This window comes from Homo sapiens, chromosome 6 (assembly GCF_000001405.40).
Source record: "Homo sapiens chromosome 6, GRCh38.p14 Primary Assembly".
In the NCBI taxonomy this organism is placed as follows: domain Eukaryota; kingdom Metazoa; phylum Chordata; class Mammalia; order Primates; family Hominidae; genus Homo; species Homo sapiens.
In genome coordinates this window covers 42,620,654-42,642,727 of record NC_000006.12, presented here as the reverse complement: position 1 = coordinate 42,642,727, position 22,074 = coordinate 42,620,654, and the positions used below count along the sequence as shown (strand labels likewise).

The following is a 22,074-nucleotide window of genomic DNA, read 5'->3' as shown; positions in this document are numbered from 1 at the left end:
GAAGACAGGAAGAAGGTATGGAGGAAACATGAGGAGTTATTCTGAATACGTTTAATATGAAGTGTGTCTAGGAAATATAGATGGAAATGATCTAAAGGCTGTTAGCCATATGAGTTTGGAGCTGAGGAGACAGGGCTAGGCTGGAGTTGTAGATTTGGGAGTGATCACAAGTGACTGAATTCTATGGAAATAACAAGAAGCAAAGATTCCCCACAACCTTTAAGTTCAATGCTTTTAATTCATTACCTGAAGCATTACTACATCCTTGTCAAACATCTCACGTCTGCATTTCACATTATGGTAGTAATAAATCTAAAAAAAAAAGTAATTATATTGAGTAAATAGTTTTTATTGGCTCAGGCTCTCTCTAATCCTTCCCCAAAAGCACAAGTTTGTACAAGAATGTGTGCATGTGTGTGATGTGGTTTCTCTAACAATTAACATTATCTTAGTAAAGATTAATTAATTACAGATTTTCACATTACAGTGGTCATGATATGGTTCACATTTTGCAGCTAACTTGCTGGGTTTCTGAATAAAGTAAAAGGTTGTGGTCTCAGGAAGGTTAGGAGCTACCAAACACAGGAGAAAAACAAAATCTGTTTATGGCTATACCACCCCAAATGTGCCAGATCTTGTCTGATCTTGGAAAAAAAAAAATTCATTCCAAGCCTATGTGAGGTCTATAAAAAGTAAAACCTCAATTTTACAGCTATATTAAAAGGCCTTTTATCTTTTAATTCAATTTGATTTAAATAGATAAAATCTGGGTTTTTATTTTTTAATATCCAACTTTGTCCCAAAAAATTATTTCAAGTAAAAGTCATGACCACTGTTGTTCATTTCTACTTTTTCCATTATTTCTTGACAAACTATGAATAAAAGTTTTAAGAAACTTTTTGTTTTATCATTAATCTTTTCAAACAATTTTAATATAGATACTCAGCTTTCACTGACTAAGTCCACTGAAAATTACAACCTTCACAGAAGCCAAGAATGGAATGAAAACTCTTCATAGAATTAGAAAACACTTACCTGGTTTACTAGAGAGAACCCATTTCTTCTCCACATTCCGGCATGTACTTGGGCACACAGAACAAGACATCTAAGAGGGTGTTCTATCAACATGGGTGGGCTAAGTTCACTCTATATATACAAAAAATAAAAAAACAGAAAACAAAAAAAACACACACATAAAATCAGTTCTAAAAAGAAGTTTGGTCGATAGAGATAAATGCTTTTATAAAACACAATATAAATTATTATTATTATTATTTTTTGAGACAGAGTCTCACTCTGTCACCCAGGCTTTAGTGCAGTGGTGCGATCTCGGCCTCCCAGGTTCAAGCCATTCTCCTGCCTCAGCCTCCCGAGTAGCTGGGAGTACAGGCATAAGCCAACACGCTTGGCCAATTTTTGTATTTTTAGTAGAGATGGGGACTCGCCATGTTGGCTAGGTTGGTCTTGAACTCCTGACCTCAGGTGATCCACCCACCTCAGCTTCCCAAAGTGCTGCGATTACAGGTGTGGGCCACTGTGCCTGGCCTTATTTATTTTAATTATTTTAAGATATGTTTGTGTGATGGTTAGTTTTATATATCAACTTAGCAAGGCTATGATATCCCATTTATGGTCAACACCAATCTAATGTTGCTATGAAGGTATTTTTTACACATGATTAACATTTAAATCATAGACTGGCTGAGCATGGTAGCTCGCACCTGTAATCTCAGCACTTTGGGAGGCTGAGGCAGGTGGATCACCTGAGATCACGAGTTCCAGACCAGCCTGGGCAACATGGTGAAACCCTGTCTCTACTAAAAATACAAAAATTAGCTGGGAGTGGTGGCAGGCACCTGTATTCCAGCTTCTTGGGAGGCTGAGGCAGGAGAATTCCTTAAACCATGGAGGTAGAGGTTGCAGTGAGCCAAGATTGCGCCACTGCATTCCAGCCTGGGTGACAGAGTGAGACTCTGTCTCAAAAAAATAAAAATAAAAAAAAATCATAGACTCTGAGTAAAGCAGATTACCCTCCAAACATGGGTGGGCTTCATCAGTTCAGTTGAAGGCCTTGAGAAAAGACTGACGTCCCCCATGGAAGAAGGAATTCTGCCTTTATGACAGCCACTGTACTCAAGACTGCAGCATCAACTCTTCCCTGGGTCTCTCCAGTCTGCCAGTCTGCTAGGCTCCCCTGCATATTTCAGACTTGCCAGATTTCAGCCCCCACAATTTCATGAGCCAGTTCCTTACAACAAATCTCTGTCTCTCTCTCTCTATATATGTATCTATACACACACACACACACACACACACACACACACACACACACACACACACACACCTTACTGGTTCTGTTCCTCTGGAGAACCCAAACTAAAAATGTGTTTCAAAGTGATTCCAAATACAAAGAACATAATAAATAAGTATTCACTTTTAAATGTAAGCACCACTTACTAGAGGTAGGAGCTCTGGAAATTTATATGCCACTTCACTTTTGCTTAATAATACATGTAAACCTGCATGAAAGAACAAACAAAAAACAGTATTTCTATCAGTAAAAATCATTTAGGAAAAATACCCTAAATATTCACTCAACTTTATATCTAACTTCTTTTCTCTTTGGGAACCTATCAAATTACCAATTAAGATAGAAAATGATCTATATTCATAAGAGGCTTATTATTATTATTAATTTTTTGAGACGGAGTCTCGCTCTGTCACCCGGCTGGAGTGCAGTGGCGCGATCTTGGATCACTGCAAGCTCCGCCTCCCGGGTTCACGCCATTCTCCTGCCTCAGCCTCCCGAGTAGCTGGGACCACAGGCACCCGCCACCACACCCGGCTAATAAAAGAGGCTTTTTAATGCTTCTCATGAATCTGTTATCAAAGGCACACTTAGAACTAGTCTTAGTTGTATGTACTAATACACACCAATGACATTTTAAAAGCTATCAAAACAATTTATATACATGTTATGCCAGCTTTAAGAGTTGTATTTCACTGGGCCATGGAATTTGTTCCCATTTAAAGTATAGCAGTGAGAGATCCTTCTGGCCACTGATCGGAAAAACTGGCCCTGGAATTCACGGTCCTTACTGATACTGACCTTTGAATTAAGTTCCCCAGAACTTTTGGTTTAGGATCAAAGCCTCATTAGTTTCTAACCTCAAGGGATCTTGGCTGACTGCAACCTCTGCCTCCCAGGTTCAAGCGATTCTCCTGCCTCAGCCTCCTGAGCAGAGCAGCTGGGACTACAGGTGCACTCCACCATGCCCAGCTAATTTTTTTATTTTTAGTAGAGACGGGGTTTTGCCATGTTGGCCAGGCTGGTCTCGAACTCCTGACCTCAGGTGATCTGCTGGCCTCGGCCTCCCAAAGTGCTGGGATTACAGGCATGAGCCACCACGCCCAGCCTTCAGTTCATTCTGAATGTGTTGTTTATGCTATTGCTTAAACAGAGGACACCCTTTAAAGTCTTATCAATATATAATGGCCATTTACTCAAGCCTGGTTTGAGGCTTTCTTCATCTAGGAAAACTTGCACTACTAATGCCATTCTAATAGCTTATTCTCAACATTTACTGCTCCATTTGTAAATGTTGTAAATGCTCAACATTTACAAACTCCATTAGCACTTGCTTCAAACTGTCCATGAACTGTTTTGTGTTGGTTTACTTAGATTTCCAATTAGATTATAAGCAGTTAGGCTAAGGTTTATGAAATACCATGAAATGAATACTCAAAAATATTCACACGACAGCTTTGAGGGAGGTAAAAACCTAGGCAGAAATTAGTACATTTTTAGAGCACTGACTTTTTTCACTGTAGATAACTATCAGCATCAGCTTCCTCCCATAAAATTAGACTTTTTTTTTTTGAGACAGAGTCTCACTCTGATTTTTAAAGGCAGAAGAGATCAGTGGCTCAGTTGGAGACAGGACTCATTACTCAATTTCTTGCCTTTTTTTTTTTTAAGGGCACGTGCAGGGCATGCCACGCTGCGCCTGCGTGCTACTTCCACACGCATGCCTCACTTTCTTGCCTTCTGTCCAATACTTTTCCACAACACCATGCCATCAATTGCCTGTGTTGAGGATTGACAGTTCAGTTGCTCAAAACACTTATAAAAACAAAACTGGGCCTGAACAAGTTATAGAAATAAGAGAGATTTCTTCTTACGATCATGATTTCATTCTAGGTAATGGTCTATTGTACCATTTGATATTCATATGTCTAGGAATAACAACTTTATAAGCCTCAGAGTAAGTAATTATCTTAAATTACCATGACTTCAATAATATACCCATGGCAAGGGTCTATCAGTGGGATAATGTGATAGGTCTCAGAACAATGAAAAAAAATGCCTTCAGAATGAAAGAGGAATCATTACTACTGACCCCATGTACATTAAAAGGATAATGAAGGAATATTAACAACTCTAGGCCCACAAATCTGATAACTTAGATGAAATGGATCAATTCCCTGAAAGACACAGACTACCAAAACTCACACAAGGAGAAAAAGATAACCTAAACAGGCCCGTATCTATTAAAGAAATTGAGTCAATTATTAATAACCTTCCAAAACCTAAAGCATCAGATGAGATGACTTCACTGGTGAATTCTGTCAAACATTTAAGGAAGAAATGAAACAAACTCTCTACAATCTCCTCCAGAAAAAAACAAAACAAAACAAAAAACATACCCTCACATCACATTAAGCTACTGAGCCACAAACTTAACATAAACTACATATTTTACAATGAGTAAAAATACCTTCAAAATTTCTTTCTGTTCTCTGAGTTAAAACGGAACTAAAGAAAACAACAGTGTGCGAGCAAGAAAAGAATACCTAGAATCAAGAAATATGAAAGCTGTACTGAAATGAGTCTGCAGAGATGGATAAGTGCATATTCAAAGTCTTTGGCCACATAAGATGGCAGCTTCAGACATTCTACCAATTAATTACAAGTGGCTTGTAAATCAACTACTTGAAATTAAAAGATTATCACCCCATTATGTCCTTGTTCTTGACCTGTTGCGTAAAAAGCTATCAATAAATATATGAAACAGCTCAGAGGGAGAGGAAAAAAAGGAGAATAGAAAACCTAGGGTGGCTTCAAATGATTAGCAATTGCTTAAGTGACAGATTAATTTGAATGGTAACAACATAGACTTTGAAGCTGGATTCGATGAAATGATAAAACGTGGTATCTGTAGTTGTCTAAAGAAGCACTATGGTATAACGGCTATAAACATGGCCTCTGGTGCCAAACTTCCTCATAATGCCAACTGATTCTTTCTTGTTGTGTGACTTACTAAGCAAGTCACTCTCTATGCCTCTGTCTTCCCATCTATGAAGCAAGCTTAATAATAATACCTACTTCACAGGACGATGTGATGATTGGATAAGTTAATGATGTAGAAATCACAGAATAACATCTGGCACAAAGTAAGTATTCACAGATATTAACCACAAACAACAATTTAAAAGATAATTTTAGGGTTTTATTTTAGGGGAAATGCTTTACCTGCAAGTAAGCGAGAAACTGGGAGGTGAATGCTAACTTTTTCTTGGGAAACACAGTATCTGATAGTTTCCACTGAATGTCCACAAATGCTTAGTGTGATTGGCTGTTCACCATCAGTATAACCACCATGACACTGCATCAGTACAGCGAGACATTTCTTGTAAGCTTCGATTAACACTTTTTCCTAAAAAAGAGGGTTTTTCTGTAAGTTACTCAAAAGGTTGAGTTTTTACAACATTGAATAAGCACCTTAAATTCAGTGAGTAAGTACCTCAAATAACAATATAGGCAAAACCAAACTCAATCCTCCCTCCCAAATTTGGTCCCTCTTCCAGTGTCCCTCATCTCAGTGAATGATACATTTACTCATATAGTGCAGAAATCTAGAAGTTATTCCAATACCCTCCTTTCCCCCATTCCCCATTGTCCAATCTATTACCAAGCTGGCAACTTCATCTTCTAAGTTTCTCTCAAAACTTGCTACTTTTCTCTATCTCTAGTAACTCCAAGGCATTGCCAAGCGTCTCTCTATTAAATTCCTGCTTTGACTCTTGCCCCCTTCATCCATTCTCCATACAGAGCAATTTTAAAAAACATGTAAATTGAATCATGTCACTGTATGGAAAATGGATAAAGGGGGCAAGAGTTGAAGCAGGGAATTTAATAGAGAGATGGTAATCTCTAAAGGCTTCCCACTTCAATTCAAATAAAATGCAGGCTGAGTGTGGTGGCTCACGCTGGTAATTCCAAGACTTTGGGAGGCCGAGGCAAGCAGATCGCTTGAGCCCAGGAATTCAAGACCAGCCTGGGTAACACGGCGAAGCCCTGTCTCTACAAAAAATAGAAAAATTAGCCAGGTGTGGTGGTGTGTGCCTGTTGTCCCAGCTACTTGGGAGGCTGAGGTGGGAGGATCACCTAAGCCCAGGGAGGTTGAGGCTGCAGTGAGCCGGGATTGCACCACTGCACTCTGGCCTGGGCAACAGAGTAAGCTGTGTCTCAAAAAAAAAAAAAACAAAAAAAAAAACAACCATGGCCAAGGCCCCGAAAAATCACTCCTGTGCCCAAATCTCTGTTCTCTACTTCTGTGCTCCAACCACAGACCTTTCTATAGCTCCTAGGACTACCCTAGTCCCTGTCATCACAGACTATAATGCAGCTGTCTTCTCAGTCAGGAATATCATTTACTCATTGTTCCATTAACTTTTACAGATTGTTCAGACCTTACAGAAACCTCCCTAACCTCATAATGTATACAGGCTCTCATCTAGACTTTATCGCCAAAGGAAGGCCAAAATAATTTTAAGACACAGGACAAATGTACCAATAATAAAACTTTATTTTTGAATAAATTTAGAAACTACCATTTTTATATCCTCAAAGTCTAGAAGGGATTATGGAAAAAAAACAAAGATAGTTACATTAGGGAAGAGACAATCTGGATTATTTCTTTCTCTATTTTTCAAGTTTTTCCTCAGGCTGTAGAATTTTAAAATTTTACTGAGTTTATAGGTGGAGAAGGAAAATACGCTGTTTAATGAACTAAGTATCACCACTATTTTCTCCAGATCTCCTTGAAATTTACTTAGGATTCTGCTTATTCCTCCCTCTTCCACTTTCCTCCTATTCCCCGCACCCAGAAGAAACTCACATCTGAAGCACACCAGTCCTGCATCATTGAAATGACATGTGTTAATTTCATTTGTAGTGTGAAGGCTGCTTCCCACTCTGGTTCCATTTCAATATGTTGTCCTACTTGACGTGTAATTGGATCCATTCCCTTAACGGAAGTGAAAAAATTATATATGAATGAAAATAATAGTTGTTCTTTTATATGGAAACCTAAGAAGTAATGTAGGAGAAATATATATTGATTATAAAAACATAGAAGGTATAAGTTTTAACAGGAAACTTCAAGTACTATGAGAAATAATAGCTTTTAAAATTATGTGTTTATATAACATTCTCTAAAATATAAATTTAGAAATCCCAATAAACACATTATTTCAGAGGTATCATCTAAGATCTGTTTTAGGCAATAAAATACTTCAATATTTCACTGCAATAATCCTTCCTTTTTAGCTCTATGGTCTATAGAAAAAATTGTTAAAAGAAATGTGACAAGCTTTTAAAATGTTATTGAATTTATAACTGTATTTTATAATAAAGTTTTAATATTATGTCCTAATATGCAATTAGAAGTTTTCACAGAGCCTGAAAGAAGGCAAAACAATAAATAGCTTTTAATTAAAATTACTGTTCAGAAACTAGCCTAACTATTCTAGTATGTCAGAACTTATTAAACAATAGAGAATACAGAATACTTCAAGTATCAAAAATGACCAAAGTAGCTATTGTTTTCACAGATACATGAAAAACATAGTAGTATTATAATAAACACCCATGAACTACCACCCAACCTAGGAACTAGAATGGTAAGTCAGGCCAGACATGGTGGCCCACGCCTGTAATCCCAGCACTTTGGGAGGCCGAGGCGGGTGGATCACTTGAGGTCAGGAATTCAAGACCAGCCTGGCCAACATGGCGAAACCCTGTCTCTACTAACAATACAAAAATGAGCTAGGTGTGGTGGCGTGCACCTGTAATCCCAGCTACTCGGGAGGCTGAGGCAGAAGAATTGCTTGAACCTGGGAGGCAGAGGTTGCAGTGAGCCAAGATCGCGCCACTGCACTCCCGCCTGGGCGATAGAGCAAACCTCCACCTCCAAAATAAATAAATAAATAAAAATAAATTCAAACAAATAAAAATAAAAATGGTAAGTCAACTTTGGTCATTCCTTTTCTTAAGAAAGCCAGGTGGCTACTAAAGAAATCATAATAGTACTTGCTCAGATTTTTAGAGACGTCACCTATCTTCTTACAGTTATAACTGGTTAAATATACCTGTTCGTTTCTACTTCTAGATTCTGTTTTGTATATAGGGATGTTTCCTAAAAAGAGAATTAAACAGGGGAAAAAGGTCTACACTGTATTATATAAATACCACATGAAGGAGAGAAAAAGAAACATGGAAACATTAAAAAGCAAAATCAAAAACCACTACAGTTTCTCAAATAACTTGACTATACTTCCAAGAAAGCATATTAAAAAAATAAACTTGTAACCTCTAAAGAAAGAACATTAGTGGAAACCAAAGAAATATAAAAGTGGCTGGCGCAGTGGCTCATGCCTGTAATCCCAGCACATTGGGAGGCCGAGGTGGGCGGATCACTTGAGGTCAGCAGTTTGAAATCAGCCTGGACAACTTGGTGAAACCTCGTCTCTACTAAAAATACAAAAAATAGCCAGGCATGGTGGCAGGTGCCTGTAATCCCAGCTACTCAAAAAGCTGAGGTCAGAGAATCACTTGAACCCAGGAGGCGGAGGTTGCAGTGAGCCAGGATTGTGCCATTGTACTCCAGCCTGGGCAACAGAGTGAAAAACTATGTCTCAAACAAAACAAAACAAAACAAAACAAAAAACAAACAAAAAAACAACCCCAAAAACTGGCCAGGTGCGGTGGCTCATGCCGGTAATCCCAGCACTCTGGGAGGTTGAGGTGGGTGGATCACTTGAGGTCAGGAGTTCGAGACCAGCCTGGACAACTTGGTGAAACCCTATCTCTATTAAAAATACAAAAAATTAGCTGGTGTGGTGGTGTATACCTGTAATTCCAGCTGTTTGAGAGGCTGAGGCAGGATATTCACTTGAACTCTGGAGGTGGAGATTGCAGTGAGCTGAGATTGCGCCACTGCACTCCAGCCTGGGCGACAGAGTGAGACTCCATCTCATAAACAAAACAAAACAAAAAAAACCAACACAGAAAAAACCCAAGAGCAGTAGATGCCGGAATGTTTGCTGGGATCTCCTTTGCTCCATACCTTTCTAAGAATTTCCAATTAAAGAGGAGCTTCCTGGTCAGAATTGCAGCCATCCAAATTGATCTTTTGGAAATGTGCACGAAATGAAAAGATGCGCAGACAGAAAGCTGTTCATTTCAATGAACAACAACAACAACAACAACAACAACAACAAAGAAGCTGGGCCTGGGCCCGTGCCTGCGCCTCTAGTCCCAGGCAACTTTGGAGGCTGAGGCAGGAGAACTGCCAGAGACCAGGAGTTCAAAGGTATAGTACACTATGGTTGTGTCTATGACTAGCCACTACACTCCACCCTGGGCAACACAGTGAGACCCCCATCTCTTAAAAAGAAAAAGAAAAATTAAAAAAAAAAAAAAAAAGAGAAAAGAGAAAAAAAAAAAAGGAAAAAGAAAAGTGTAACAGTTTTTACATACCTGCATACATTTTAGTAATTCCAAAAAGGCATCAAACCCTTCTAGGAACTTCTGCCTCAGCTCATCTGACCATTCAGTTGGTTTGCTAATTAACACATACCTGAACAAGATAAAAGTGACAGTGGCAATTAACATAAACATTGACTTTCTATAAATTGCAACTGGTTTAATAATTAAATGAAAACTTACTTGAGATCTAAAATAAGGCTCTGTACTCTCCTAAATTTGAAGGCTTGTAAAGCAGTGTATCGTTCAAACTGAAATCTGCCCTGGGCATCTCGATGTCTCAAATGATCCATAAAAGTCTTAATGATAATGCTCATTAAGTTTTCTTCTGTGATGAGCATTCGAGCCTAAAAACAAAGTTTATCAGAGTGCATGGTAATCAAAAACTATGTACTAGGAAGACTAAAAAAAAAGTCACCAACATTGTTTAGCTCCTTCAGTTTAAACCTTTTTCAACACAACTATATATCATAAATGCATTACTGTGTATTTCTAAATAACAATTACTTACTCCAATTGCCATGTGTATGAAGCAACAATTATACCAGATGCCAGAAAGATGCCAGAATGTTAGAAGACAGTTCCAAGGCTCATTACTCAAAGATAAATTCAGGGTGGGGGCTCTGAATCAGGCTGCAAATTTTCCTTAACTGAGACATTTAGACACCTATAATGGTATGGTATAGTTATTCTAGGATCCAGAGGTTTACGACACAGATTCTCTAGAACTCAGTATGAAACAATATTTTCTCTTTATTTCCTTAGTTGAGATTTATTTTTTGTTTGTGTGTGTGTGCATGTGTGTACATATATATATATATATATATATTTTTTTTTTTTTTAAATAAGCAAATACATGTAAATCATACTAAATGCAACAGGGAGTCTCCTAGCTCCTGAGGTCTTCTTTCTAAAGGCAAATCTTGTTAATCGTAGTTCCTTGCATATTCTTGCAGAGATGGTATATGTATGTGTATTTTATATATATATAATTACAGAACCTGTATTTATATATATATATATATATATATATATATAAAATCAGAGTATATACTACATAATACACACACATATATAAAATGTATAAATACATAAAGTGTGTATTAAGTATACACAAGTATGTATATCTATCTTTTTCCTACAAAAGATAGCATATTATATTGTTTTGTACATTTTTTTACTTGATATGGGACAATGTCCCATATCAGTTCATACAAATGCTCGTCATTCTTTTTAACCAGGTCTACTTTTGTATCAGATTTTATTTAGCCAAGCTTTTACTGGTCAGACATTTGGGTTGTTTCCAGTTTTATGCTATTAAAAAAGATGTTGCAACAAATATCCACTGTGTATAGTTGTAGGAATATTTATAGAGTAATTTCCTAAAAGTGGAAGTAATCGGTTAAAGAGTATGCACATAATAAATTTTAATGATATCACCAAATTGTTTCCACAAAGAGGCTCAACAATTTCTCTTTCTACCTACAATGTGGGCCATGCCCTCTCATGCCCTCCATAACACAATATAACTTCAAACATTTTGCTCTTTGCCATTTTGATGGTGTTAATCTCTGCCCTAATAGAGTCAGAAAGTCTAATGTTACTTTGAATACTTCATTTTGCACTCTGATACAAAAGATCATGGATCCTCACCCTGACATTTTCCAGCCTCAACAGCTAATCTCTCCTAGGATTCTAGAGTGTTATTGATGCTGGGTGACAACTTAAACAGGCCTCGCATAAGTCAAGATTAGGTAATTAGCAACAGAAAAAGTTTCATCAAAACGTAGAACAAGGCCAGGTGCAGTAGCTCACGTCTGTAACGCCAGCACTTTGGGAGGCTGAGGCAGGCGGATTATTTGAGCCCAGTTCGAGACCAGCCTGGGCAACACAGTGAAACCCTGTCTCTATAAAAAATAAAACAATTAGCTGGGTGTGGTGGCATGTACCTGTATTCCCAGCTACCTGGGAGGCTGAGGTGGGAAAATCACCTGAGCCTGGGAGGTCAAGGCTGCAGTGAGCCATGATCACGCCACTCCAGCCTGGGCGACAGAGTGAGACCCTGTCTTAAAAACAAAAAACAAAAAAACCCCAAATAAGCAGAAACAAAAATGCAGAAGACAGAAGTCTAAGAATATATTAAAACTGTATTCTAATATAGATGTTAAATTCTAAAGTCAGCAGATAAGTAGAAAATCTGTAAATATAAAACTGAGTTTGAAAACTTCAGGACTTAAAGCAGGCAGTAAGAGGAAGTTTGGTGGAGAGACGATATTGTTAGAATGTAAACCCCCACCAAACCAAGGCACTTACTAGCATTTTTAGTTTCAGGTGAATGTTAACAGAGATGGTTCACATACTGCACAATTTTGGATTAGATTCTAATTGTCTTTAGGGGTATCAAAAAAAAAAAATAGGCTGGGTGCAGTGGCTTATGCCTGTTATCCCAGCAAGGGAGGCCGAGGTGGGTGGATCACCTAAGGTCAGGAGTTCGAGACTAGCTTGGCCAACATGGTGAAACCATATCTCTACTAAAAAACACAAAAATTAGCTGGGCGTGGTGGTGGGCTCCTGTAATCCCAGCTACTCGGGAGGCTGAGACAGGAGAACCGCTTGAACTCAGGAGGCAGAGGTTGCAGTGAACCGAGATCATGCCATTGCACTCCAGCCTAGGCGACAGAGCAAGACTCTCTCAATTAAAAAAAAAAAAAAAGTAAATAATAATAGAGTGGTTCATTACTACTACTACTACTACTACTACTACTGCTACTGCTACTACTACTACTGCTACTACTACTACGATGGTTCATTACTAATGTCCCATTAAAACAGGAAGTAGCTGGCCACAGTGGCTCCTGTCTATAGTTCCAGCTACTTGTGAGGCTGAGGTTGAGGACTGCTTGAGCTCAGGATTTCGAGGCCAGCCTGGGCAACACAGCAAGGCCTTGACTCGTAAAAACAAACGAAAACCCCAAAAACCAAAACCAAAACAAAAACCAGGGGAGTTATTCAGGCATTTCTACTTCTAAAAGATAACAAAAGAAGCACATATTTCAAAGTTACAAACAGAAAAGAAAAATAAAAGACCTTAGGTTCTCAGCTTTATCACCTTATGCTAAGAAATTGTTGCTAACCTTTCAAAGTAATTTTCAACATTAAATACCAGACATTATTTGGTATTTAGTCTTGGTATATATTTCTTGTACTTAACACTTACCCTAAAAAATTATATATATTTTTTTGAGACAGAGTTTTGCTTTGTCACCCAGGCTGGAGTGCAGTGGCATAATCTTGGCTCACTGCAATCTCCTCCTCCAGGGTTCAAGTAATCCTCCCACCTCAGCCTCCTAAGTAGCTAGGATTACAGGTGTGTGCCACCACGCTTGGCTAATTTTTTACCTATATTTAGTAGAGACAGGGTTTCACCAAGTTGTCTAGGCTGATCTTGAAGTCTTGACCTCAAGTGATCTGCCTGCCTCGGCCTCCCAAAGTGCTGGGATTACAGGTGTGCGCCACTGTGCCTGGCCTTTCTTAATTTTTATGCCTACAATTCACTTTGCTTTAAAAAGCATTACCACTATCAGCCGGGCACAGTGGCTCACGCCTGTAATCTGAGCACTTTGGGAGGCTGAGGTGGGCGGATCACTTGAGGTCAGGAGTTCCAGACCTGTCTGGCCAACATGGCGAAACCCCCTCTCTACTAAAAATTAAAAAATTACCCGGGCATGGTGGCGGGCACCTATAATCCCAGCTACTAGGGAAGCTGAGGCTGGAGAACTGCTTGAACCCAGGAGGCGGAGGTTGCAGTGAGCCCAGATCATGCCACTGCACTCCAGCGTGGATGACAAGAGCGAAACTCTATCTCAAAACAAAAACAAAAACAAAAAAACCCCTGATTATATTACAGTTTTTATTCATTTTATATGATTCATATTCAATTTTGCATTGCAAGGCTCATTACCTATTTAACAGCATATTCAAAATGGGCCAAATTCTCCCGTAAGACTCTGAAAAATACAACTGAATAATAATAATCATCTATGCTTATACTTTTAAACTAAACATGCCATAGCATACAGGGATAATGCTGACTGAACACATATTTAATAAATTAGAACAACTATCATACTCTAATCACTTGAATTATAAGCACTATTTTTTTTTTTTTTTTTTTTTGAGTCAGAGCCTCACTCTGTCGCTCAGGCTAGAGTGCAGTGGCATGATCTTGGCTCACTGCAACCTCCACCTCACAGGTTCAAGCAATTCTCCTCTCTCAGCCACCTGAGTAGCTAGGATTACCAGCACCTGCCACCATGCCCAGCTAATTTTTTGTATTTTTAGAAGAGACGGGGTTTCACCATGTTGGCCAGGCTGGTCTCGAACTCCTGACCTCAAGTGATCCTCCCACCTTTGCCTCCCAAAGTGCTGGGATTACAGGCATGAGCCACTGTGCCTGGCCAGTACTGGGTCTTGACCAAACTAAAAATGAAGACTGTGTTAATTGTAAGGTAATTGTGATTCAAAAGGTACCACTGCTGTAAAACATTCCACTAATATCTAGGGCAAGTTATTTTTAACCAGGGATGTGCATAATAATTATTAACAGAGTTTTGTTTTTTTTTTAAAGAACTATAAAAGTATTCTTTCAGTCATGATGAAGTAGCTTGAGGATGACCAACATTTCCAACAAGAACAACTAGAAACGCTTAATAAAAGTAAAAAAAAGTTTGAAATCACTAGAGAGCTGCTGAGACAAGGACTCCAGGAGATAAAACCAGGGAGAAAGGGAACTGCACAAGGAGGTGAGCCAGCATTCTGCAGCTGCTTTTCCCTCAGCATTTGTCTATTCTGGGAGTGGGGTAAGAGGGGATTTAAGATCCCAAGAAAAAAACAAAGCTACCTTTGCAAAAACTGTTAACAGTGAGAAAATTATGACAACGAAAGAGATCTGACCTAATTGACTTCATCTTGCCTTTAATCTCCAAAACTGCCCTTATTCATTCCTGGGTGCAGGCCAAACTAACTTTGGGAGGAATGTGGTTTACAGTTTAACTTTAAAACAAAGACTTTAAAGACTTTAAAACAAAGGCTGGGTGTGGTGGCTCATGCCTGTAATGCTAGTACTTTGGGAGGCTGGGGTGGGAGGATCATTTGAGCCCAGGAGTTCAAGACCAGCCCAGGCAACATAGCAAGACATTGTCTCTACTAAAAATAAGAGATAAAAAAAAAAACTTAGCCAGGTGTGTAGTGGCGCACACTTGTAGTCCCAGCTACTCAGGAAACTGAGGCAGGAGGTTGGCTTGAATTTGGGTGGTCGAGGCTGCAGTGGGCCACGATTGCACCACTGCACTCTAGCCTGGGCAACAGAGCGAGACCCTGACTCAAAAAACAAAACAAACCAAAAAAACAAACAAAGACGGTAATAGACTCTCCCTGAAACAAACTCCCTCCTTGCTTGGGAACCAGACTGCGTTTGTAAAACCAACAAATTAGCCACTAGATTAGAAATTATGGCTCAGAAGTCATGTAGCCAGAGGCCACAATATCACTAACCTCCCCCACTTGCTCCTACAGATAACATTACTATTGTAAAACCTAAGATTGGTGTTTGAGGTATTTTTCAGACCCTGCATACTGAAGGACCTGCTGGAGACACCCAGACTGGTAAACTGGCTTATCTGGTCTTATGGCCCCCACCTAGGAACTGACTCAGCACAAGTGGACAGTTTCAACTCCCTGTGATTCCACCCTGGACCCAACCAATCAGCATCCCCTATTTCCTAGCCCCCTGCCCTCCAAACCTAGGCTCTAAATTGTTGGGGTGGCTGATTTGAGTAATAATAAAGCTTTGGTCTCCCACTTGGCCAGCTCTCTGTGTACTAAACTCTTTCTCTATTGCAATTCCCTCGTCTTCATAAATCGGCTCTATCTGGGCAGCGAGCAAGGTAACCCATTGTGTGGTTACAAAATATGTACAGAACTGCTATTATTAGGGAGAAAAACTTGCTGAGACTATAGCAGTCCCAGGGTGTTGGAGAGGCCAGAATCCCAGTAAGAAAAAGAGCAGGGGGAACTGAGTTCAACGTTCTTCCAGTTTTTCCTTAAAGACATTTACAAAATTCTAAAGTTATATAAGGAAGCAAGATTAGTGTACAAGTTCCTATAGAGTGAACAAACTCGAATTCTAGGGAAGAACTCCAGGCTCTCGATTGAGAACCCCTAGGGAGTTATGTGTCAGGGGTGGGGATGAAGCAGAAGTAAGACTGAGTCTTGTCAAAACAACATGGAGACACTTAAATCCTTGACTGGACTAAAGTGATCCACCTCACTCTATCAGCTGAAGAGAACTCGAATATGCCACCCCAAAATATGCCACTTTGGCATAAGGATTATTTTGAGCGAAGGCAACTGAGGACAGCAGACACAAGAGAAGCCGTAAAAAGAGAGCATACATTTCCCTTCTGTAAAGTGTCCTCTCACTTTCCAGGAAGGCAAGGGGCATCCTTTATTACCTAAGTTCATTTGAACTTGCAAAACAAACCTTTCTAAACAACCCTCATTTGCCACAAACAAGACTGTGACATGCAGTTAAAATTATGCTTAGATGGAAACCTAAGCCTTAAATCATCAGAAAAGAAGGCTGAAAGTAAATGATCTAATAATCTATAAAGAAATTACATTGGTGGTCACGAAAGAAAAGAAACTACGCAAGAATGGCAAAATCTAAAGAAAACACAAAAAAGGAAAGAATAAAACAAAGCAAATGTATAAAAGGGGAAAAATAAGGCAGCTCACGGTGGCTCACGCCTGTAATCCCAGCACTTTGGGAGGCTGAGGCAGGCAGATCACGAGGTCAGGAGATCGAGACCATCCTGGCTAACATGGTGAAACCCCGGCTCTACTAAAAATACAAAAAAAATAGCCAGGCATGGTGGCGGGTGCCTGTAGTCCCAGCTACTTGGGAGGCTGAGGCAGGAGAATGGCGTGAACCCGGGAGGCGGAGCATGCAGTGAGCCGAGATCGCACCACTGCACTCCAACCTGGGCGACAGAGCGAGACTCCGCCTCAAAAAAAAAAAAAGGGGGGAAAAATAAATCAACGCAACTAAAGGTTGGTTCTTTGAAAAAACTAATAAACACATACATCTCTAGGCTGGGCATGGTGGCTCATGTCTGTAATCCAGCACTTTGGGAGGTTGAGGTAGGCAGATCACATGAGGCCAGGAGCTTGAGACCAGCCTGGCCAAGATGGCAAAACTCCATCTCTACTGAAAATACAAAAATTAGCCGAGTGTGGTGGTGCATGCCTGTAGTCCCAGCTACTTGGGAGACTGAGACACCAGAATTGCTTGAACCTGGGAGGTAGAGATTGCAGTGAGCTGAAATCATGCCACTGCACTCCAGCTTGGGTGACAAAGTGAGACCCTGTCCTAAAAAAAGAGTATACATCCTTAGAAAGACTGGTAAGAAAAACAGAAAAATTTAAATTTAAAAAAGGATTACAAAAAATACTACAAAACCTATAGATCTGAAATGTATTAAATAGAAAATAAGACAAATATTAGGTGTCATTTAAATCAATGTAATTGGAAATTTAAATGAAATTAGCAAAGTCCCAAGAAAAAACATGTTATTAGAAGGGAAACAAGAAACAGGAAATCTGAATAGTCCTATTAAAAATTTTAACTGGCTATAAAATCATTTCCAGAAAGAAATCTTGAGGCCCAAATGGTTACACTGGAGAATTCTTCCAAATATTTAAGTGAGTAAAGTGCCTTTGCAAAATTATGACAATAAGAGAAATCTGATATAATTGACTCCATCTTGCTTCTAACCTCCAAGCTGTCCTTGGTCATTCTGGGGTGTAGGCCAAACTAACTTTGGGAGAAATTTAATTTGTAGTTTAACCTTAAAGCAAGGAAGATAATAGCCCTTTCCAAAAGGAAACTGCCTTTATAAAACTAATGAAAGTCCACAAGGTTAAGATGATGAAAGGGGCCTGAATTATGCTAAGATGTAAGTTAAATGATAACCAGCAATCACAAGATTTGTAACTTCCACAATTACTCCTATAGATAACAACACTATTGTAGAACCTAAGAGTGGCCTTTTTGAGATGCCTTTTCAGACTTTGCATTACTTGTGATCCATAATTCAACCAGTCCTTTGACCCTCAGCCACAAGTGGACTCAGCACACACCCTAATGATGCTCTCCTCAACCAATCAGCATCACCTACTCCCTAGTTTTCTGCTCACCAAATTATACTTGAAAACCCCTAACCTCCAAGCCTTCAGGGGGAGATTTTGAGTAAAAACTCTGTCTCCCATGTTGTGTGGCCAGCCTCCTGTCAATTTAACTCTTTCTGTACTGCAATGCCGTGGTCTCAGTGAATTGATTTTATCTGTACAGTGGGCAGAAAGAATCTGTTGGGCAATTACAAAAGCAATAAGGAGTAAGTGGTTCACACCTGTAATCCCAACACTTTGGTAGGCCGAGGTGGAAGGATCACTTGAGGTCAGGAGTTCAAGACTAGCCTGGGCAACAAAGCAACACCCCCCCCACCAACTCAACAAACACTAAAAAAAAAAAAAAAATTAGCCAAGTGTGGTAGTGCATGCCTGTACTCCCAGCTACTTGGGAGGCTGAGGTGGATCACTTGCACACAGGAGGTTGAGGCTGCAGTGAGCTGAGATCGCACCACTGCACTCTGGCCTGGGTGCTAGAGTGAGAATTGGTCTCAAAAAACAAACAAAACAAAACAAAACAAACAAACAAAAAAAGAGCAATACCTATCTTACATAAAATTTTCCAGAAAACAGAATATACTTGCCAATGTAATTAATGAGTCCTCTTTAATCTTAATACCAAAACCCCAAAAGGCTATAACAAGGAAAGAAAATTATCACTTAATCTCTCTCACAAATAAGGGTGCACAAATAGAATCAAGCAATATAGAAAAAGGATAATATACCACAACCAAGTTTGGTTTATTTCCTTAAAGCAAAAGTAATAAAACATTTGAAAAAAAATTAAATAACCTTATTAACAGACAAAGGGAGAAAAAAACCACTTGATCATACCATCCAATGCCTCTCCTGAAATTCATGAAAATTAAACACATATTCATGATTTAACATAAACAAAAACCAGCCGGGTGCAGTGGCTCACGCCTGTAATCCCAGCACTTGGGGAGGCTGAGGAGGGTGGATCACGAGGTCAGGAGTTCAAGACCAGCCTGACCAACGTGGTGAAACCCCGTCTCTACTAAAAATATAAAAATTAGCTGGGCGTGGTGGTGTGCACCTGTAATCCCAGCTACTCAGGAGGCTGAGGCAGAAGAATCGCTTGAACCCGGAAGGCGGAGGTTGTAGTGAGCTGAGATCACACCACTGCACTCCAGCCTGCGCGACAGAGTGAGGCTCCGTCTCAAAAAAAACCCAAAACCAAACAAACAAAAACCAAGTTGGGCTCAGTGGTGCATGCCTATAGTCCCAGGTACTCGGGAGACTGAGATGGGAGGATTGCTTGAGCCCAGGAATTTGAGGGCAGGCTGGGCAACATCACAAGGCTCCCTCTCTTAAACAACACTACCATCTTAGAGCAAACTAGGAATAGAGAAAATTTCTCTAATCTGATAAAAGAGTATCTATAAACAATCAAACAAAAACCAAGCAAACAAAACTCCAAAGCAAAACATCATACTTTACGGTAAAATATTAAAAGTTTTCCCCCTGAGATCAGATATGAGACAAAGATTTCTGCTTTTATCTACCACTTGTATTTAACACTGTAGTTGAGGTCCCAGCCAGTATAATAAAGAAAATGAAATAAAATATATAAATATTCAAAATAAGAACTAAAACTGCTGTTATTCATGAATGACAAGTGATATGATTATGTACACAGAAAAATCCAAAAGAATCTGCAAACTGGCTGGGCACAGTGGCTCATGCCTGTAATCCCAGTACTTTGGGAGGCTGAGGCAGGATGATAGCTTGAGCCCAGGAGTTTGAGACTGGCCTGAGCATCACAGACCCCATCTTAAAAAAAAAAAAAATCTATAAACCATTAGAATAAATGAATGTGGAAAAAGTGGCTGGATACATGGCTGATATACACAAATGAATGTATTTCTATAAGCAAATACAAAGTAAAGTTAAAAAAAATTTCCCATAGAATCAAAAGCCAAAAACAGGCCAGGTGCGGTGGCTCAGGCTTGTAATCCCAGCACTTTGGGAGGCCGAGGTGGGCAGATAACCTGAGGTCAGGAGTTTGAGACCAGTCTGGCTAACATGGTGAAACACCATCTCTATGAAAAGTACAAAAAAACTAGCCAGGTGTGGTGGCACGCACCTGTAATCCCAGCTACTTGGGAGGCTGAGGCAGAAGAATCACTTTAACCTAGGAGGCGGAGGCTGCAGTGAACTGAGATTGCACCACTGCACTCCAGCGTGGGGAACAGAGTGAGGTTCTGTCTCAAAAAAAAAAAAAACCCACCAAAAAACCCAAAAACAATGTCTCCCCTCCCCCCAAAACCAAACCAAACACCTAGAAATAAATCTAACAAAAGAAGAATGGGGGCCAGGCGCAGTGGCTCACGCCTGTAATCCCAGCACTTTGGGACGCTGAGATGGGTGGATCACCTGAGGTCAGGAGTTCGACACCAGCCTGACCAATATGGTGAAACCCTGTCTCTACTAAAAATACAAAAATTAGCCAGGCGTGGTGGCAGCAGGTGTCTGTAATCCCAGCTACTCGGGAGGCTAAGACAGGAGAATTGCTTGAACCTGGGAGGCAGAGGTTGCAGTGAGCCAAGATTGTGCCACTGTGCTCTAGCCTGGGTGACAGAGCAAGACTCCATCTCAAAAAGAAAAAAAAGAAGAGTGGGAAGCCCTCTATAATGACAACTATAAAGTATTGAAAGAAATTTTTTTAAAAAACTAAATGAATGAAGGAATACATCAAGTTCACAGGGCAGAAGACTCAATATTGTAAAGATACCAATTCTTCCTAAACTGAAGGAGAGATTAATTTCAATCTCAATCAAAATATATGAAGGCTTCTTCGTGTGTATGGAAGCTGATATGCTGAATCTAAATTCATACAGAAATACAAAGGATTAAGAATGGCCAAGGCTGGCCTGGCGCGGTGGCTCACGCCTGTAATCTCAGCACTTTGGGAGCTGAGGGGGATGGATCACCTGAGGTCAGGAGTTCAAGACCAGCCTGACCAACATGGCAAAACCCCATCTCTACTAAAAATACAAAATTAGCCAGGTGTGGTGGCGCATGCCTATAATCCCAGCTACTTGGGAGGCTGAGGCAGGAGAATTGCTTGAACCCGGGAGGCGGAGGTTGCAGTGAGCCGAGATCACACCATTGCACTCCAGCCTGGGCAACAACAATGAAACTCCATCTCAAAAAAACAAACAAACAAAAAAAGAATGGCCAAGGCACTCTGAGGAATAAAGCTGGAAGATTTAACTATCAGATACTGAGACTCACAAAACTACTATAATTAAGGCAGTGTAGCTGGGGCACAAAGATAGACAAGACAGACACACACATATAAAGGTCTTGATTTATGACAAAGGTGCCCCTGAAATGCAACAGGTGAAAAAGTATCTTCAATAAACACTTCTGGGTTAATTGAATAACTATGTAGGGGGAAAAATCAAGACCTTACTTCTTAGATACACAAAAATGAATTATAGATGGATTGGGAATTTAAATGGGAAAGGCAGCTTTTAGAAAACGTGGGAGAATATCTTTGTGACCTTGGGATACACAAAGATTGTTTAAACAATATACAAAAAGTACGGCCGGGTGCGGTGGATCACCTGAGGTCAGAAGTTTGAGACCAGTCTGTCCAACATAGTGAAACCCCGTCTCTACTAAAAATACAAACAAACAAACAAACAAACAAAATAGCCAGGTATGGTCACACACGCCTGTAGCCCCAGCTACTCAGGAGGCCGAGGAAGGAGAATCGCTTGAACCCGGGAGGCAGAGGTTGCAGTGAGTGGAGATCACGCCACTGCACTACAGCCTGGGTGACAGAGCGAGACTCCGTCTAAAAAACAAACAAACAAACAAAATTAGTACATGTTATAATTATGAATTCTGGCTCATTAAGAGACACCTGGCTGGGTGCAGTGGCTCATGCCCGTAATCCCAGCACTTTGAGAGGCTGAGGCAGGCGGATCACTTGAGGCTAGGAGTTTGAGACCAGCCTGGCCAACATA

At 40.0% G+C, this 22,074-nt stretch overlaps 1 protein-coding gene across 11 annotated transcripts in view, besides 1 other annotated feature; it reads right to left on the bottom strand.

Annotated features, from left to right (window-relative positions):
• Positions 1-22,074, bottom strand: part of UBR2 (ubiquitin protein ligase E3 component n-recognin 2) — a 129,477-nt gene that overhangs the window by 50,778 nt on the left and 56,625 nt on the right. For 7 of the 11 annotated variants that reach the window (XM_017010594.2, XM_011514438.3, NM_015255.3 and 4 more), the window contains exons 12-18: positions 10,013-10,176; positions 9,824-9,923; positions 7,182-7,310; positions 5,534-5,717; positions 2,458-2,519; positions 1,036-1,146; positions 247-312 (exon numbers count right to left, since the gene is read on the bottom strand). In XM_017010594.2, the coding sequence (XP_016866083.1) occupies positions 247-312; positions 1,036-1,146; positions 2,458-2,519; positions 5,534-5,717; positions 7,182-7,310; positions 9,824-9,923; positions 10,013-10,176 (816 nt within the window). The other 4 variants (XM_011514440.2, XM_011514441.3, XM_047418495.1 and 1 more) reach the window with 4 other exon arrangements.
• Positions 12,784-12,873: an enhancer, noted in NCBI's record as "active region_24562". NCBI's record gives its function as "activates an Ori minimal core promoter by ATAC-STARR-seq in GM12878 lymphoblastoid cells {active_cell/tissue: GM12878}" and the evidence as "EXISTENCE:reporter gene assay evidence [ECO:0000049][PMID:35858748]".